Source organism: Homo sapiens, chromosome 14 (assembly GCF_000001405.40).
Source record: "Homo sapiens chromosome 14, GRCh38.p14 Primary Assembly".
NCBI lineage: Eukaryota > Metazoa > Chordata > Mammalia > Primates > Hominidae > Homo > Homo sapiens.
Genome location: NC_000014.9, coordinates 55,411,379 through 55,414,209, shown reverse-complemented (window position 1 = coordinate 55,414,209; position 2,831 = coordinate 55,411,379). Strand labels below are relative to the sequence as shown.

Below are 2,831 nucleotides of genomic sequence, written 5' to 3'. Positions count from 1 at the left end.
TGACTCCTTTTGTGTTATTTTAAAAACTGAACAAGTAAACATTTCAAAATTTGAGAGATTTAGGGTCTCACTAGAATGATATTGTAGCATCATGAAGACTCAATGCGTTTCCTTTTAGCCGGAAGGGCCATCTTCCAGTAATTTGCCAAAATGACGAACACAAAGGGAAAGAGGTGAGGCACCTGATACATGTTCTCTAGGCCTTTTAGAAAAGATGGAGTTGTTCCTTTGGCCACATACATGCGAATCTACGAAAAAGGTGATATTGTAGACATCAAGGGAATGGCTGCTTTTCAAAAAGGAGTGCTCCGCAAATGTTACCACAGCAAAGCTGGAAGAGTCTACAGTGTTACCCAGCATGCTGTTGGCATTGTAAACAAGGGCAAGATTTTTGCCAAGAGAATGAATGTGCTTACTGAGCCAGGCTGGTCTTGAACTCCTGACCTCAGTTGATCCATCTGCCTGGGCCTTGGCACTCTAAGAGCCAAGTAAGTTTCCTGAAACGCGTGAAGGTAAATAATCAGAAAAAGACGTCAAAGGGAGAGGTGTCTGAGTTCAACTGAAGCGCCAGCCTGCTCCACCCAGACAAGCACTTAGAACCAATGGAGGGAGCCTGGGCTGCTGGAACCTATTCCCTATGAGTTCATGGCATAATAGGTGTCAAAAAAAATTCTGAACTGTACAAATGTTTCTCTTCATTGAGAAGTGTGGCGCCGCCCCCTCCCCTTAAAGAAATATTTAAACTACATTTTGTATCCAAAAACCTCAGTGCTCTGCTGTTAAGTAATACATTAATATGCGTTCTCTGAAAATATATAGCAACATATAGGAGTTTCAAATAACTGCATAAGCTAGATACTATCTGTGATATCATCTAGCACGATAGGAATTAATGTGTATTTTTTGCCTTTTAAAATATTGAACAGTTGATCCTGATCATTAGGTATTAAGCACTGTGAAGGATCCTGTCTGAATACAAATGAAACATAAGCCCGAGACCTTAAAAAATAATCCTTTTGTTTGAAATGATCAGAGAGAAAGACTTCTCACTTAAAAATAAATCTTAAACTTTCAGGAACCATTCAAGTTTAGTGTAAACTGTATTCTGAATATAGAGAATTTTTGCTTTTGCTTGTTTTTGTAATCCTACGTGATTTGTATTTAAAAAGACTGGGTAAGATTAAGAAGACGGAGGAGCAAAGGGCTCAGATTCAAGACCTAATTAGCTTGTAGAATCACCAGTTTTCGATGGTGATGTGGAGATTAACAGGGAGGGACGGGCTAATATGAATCATGGCTCTTGGCTGTAAATCATCAGTGATTACGTCCTTTACCAAAGTAAGAAAACAGGTTTGTAGGGAGGCAGAAGTCAGTTTCCAACACTTTGAGTTTGTGGTGTCCTGGAATGTCACCTGATACCTAGTAAGTAGTTCTGGATCTTTGGGTATGGAACTTGAGAAAGGAATCCTGGCTAGAGAGAGAATTCAGGGCAGTTTATCAGTAGATAGCCTAGTAAAATCATCCTTGAGAATCACTGGTCTATTTAATCTCACCTATAAACTCACTTTTCTCTGTAGTTTAGAGGCATATTCAAACACTAATTACTCTGATATGATCCTCCCAACACATCACCTTATATATCCCCTATCCACCAAAAGAAACTTGAAGGGAAGTCCTAACCATCTACCTAGTTCAAATTCTCTTAGAGCATGGCCCAGGGTAGGGAAGGTACGTTAGCCACGTGATTAACTTTTCAGAAGGATACAATTCTGATTTTGCACGTTCACTTTGGTTGTTTTCACTATTGGTAAAGTATAATACTATTAACCATATTAATCCTCACGGCATTAGATGGGTACTATAATTCTATCCATTTAACACGAGAGAACAGGCGCAGAGAGATTAAGGAACTTGCCCCAAGTCACACAGCTATTAAGCAGGTGAGTGAGCCAAAATTCAACCTAGTTCCAAGACCCAGCCCCTTCACCCTACTTTGTTTGCTGTAGTTTAGCCAGATTTTAAAGCATCCACAGCAAGTTAAATTCCCTTATTCCGCTCCCATTCCGTTTTCCCAGAATCCTTAGGGTATGGTATTACAATTTTCTGCACAAGTTTGAGGCTTTAACTCGTAGTCTTGGCCTGAGCCAGCAGATGACATTTTGTTTGGCCGACTAGCCCCTCTAATATAACTCTCCCCCTGCTTCGGGACCTGTTGCCCCTCAGCAGACCGGAAAAACAACAGTGCCCGGGACAGGAACACGCGGCGGCGGAGGGGTCCGGGGGCTCGCCGGCATCCCAGCCCCCCTTCCCCAGGCCCCTCCTCCTGGCCCAGAATGCACCCGGTTGAAAACAAAATCCCACGTGACTGGCTCTCCTCTCAGGCCATCATGGCGTCTCCCAGTGGGAAGGGAGCCCGGGCGCTGGAGGCTCCTGGCTGCGGGCCCCGGCCGCTCGCCCGGGACCTGGTGGACTCCGTGGACGATGCGGAGGGGCTGTACGTGGCTGTGGAGCGCTGCCCGCTGTGCAACACTACCCGCCGGCGGCTGACCTGCGCCAAATGCGTTCAGAGCGGCGATTTCGTCTACTTCGACGGCCGCGACCGGGAGAGGTACGGCGGCCGCCACGGCCCTATTGTTTCTTCTGCTGTGTGTCCTCCAGCCAGGCAGCCGAAGGCTGGAACCTGGGGCTCCCCGTCCGGGCACCAGATACCAGCGAGAGGAGCGAGAGAGAGGGAGTGTAGCTAGCTGCTCTGCACCGGAGCTTTGCTACCAGAGGACAGCGTAGGGGCCAGATGAGGGAAGGTCGCCGTTTCCCCATCACCCACCCAAGAG

At 46.1% G+C, this 2,831-nt stretch overlaps 2 protein-coding genes and 1 pseudogene across 4 annotated transcripts in view, besides 1 other annotated feature; 2 read left to right on the top strand and 1 right to left on the bottom strand.

Annotated features, from left to right (window-relative positions):
* Positions 1–2,831, bottom strand: part of FBXO34 (F-box protein 34) — a 171,629-nt gene that overhangs the window by 28,840 nt on the left and 139,958 nt on the right. The window lies entirely within an intron of this gene.
* RPL21P6 (ribosomal protein L21 pseudogene 6) lies at positions 108–670 on the top strand (annotated as a pseudogene).
* Positions 2,091–2,390: a silencer, noted in NCBI's record as "silent region_5783". NCBI's record gives its function as "represses an Ori minimal core promoter by ATAC-STARR-seq in GM12878 lymphoblastoid cells {active_cell/tissue: GM12878}" and the evidence as "EXISTENCE:reporter gene assay evidence [ECO:0000049][PMID:35858748]".
* ATG14 (autophagy related 14) overlaps positions 2,380–2,831 on the top strand; it is a 45,440-nt gene continuing 44,988 nt past the window's right edge. The window contains exon 1 of the mRNA NM_014924.5: positions 2,380–2,608. Within this exon, the coding sequence (NP_055739.2) occupies positions 2,388–2,608 (221 nt within the window). The 5' untranslated portion in view covers positions 2,380–2,387. The remainder of the gene's footprint in view (positions 2,609–2,831) is intronic.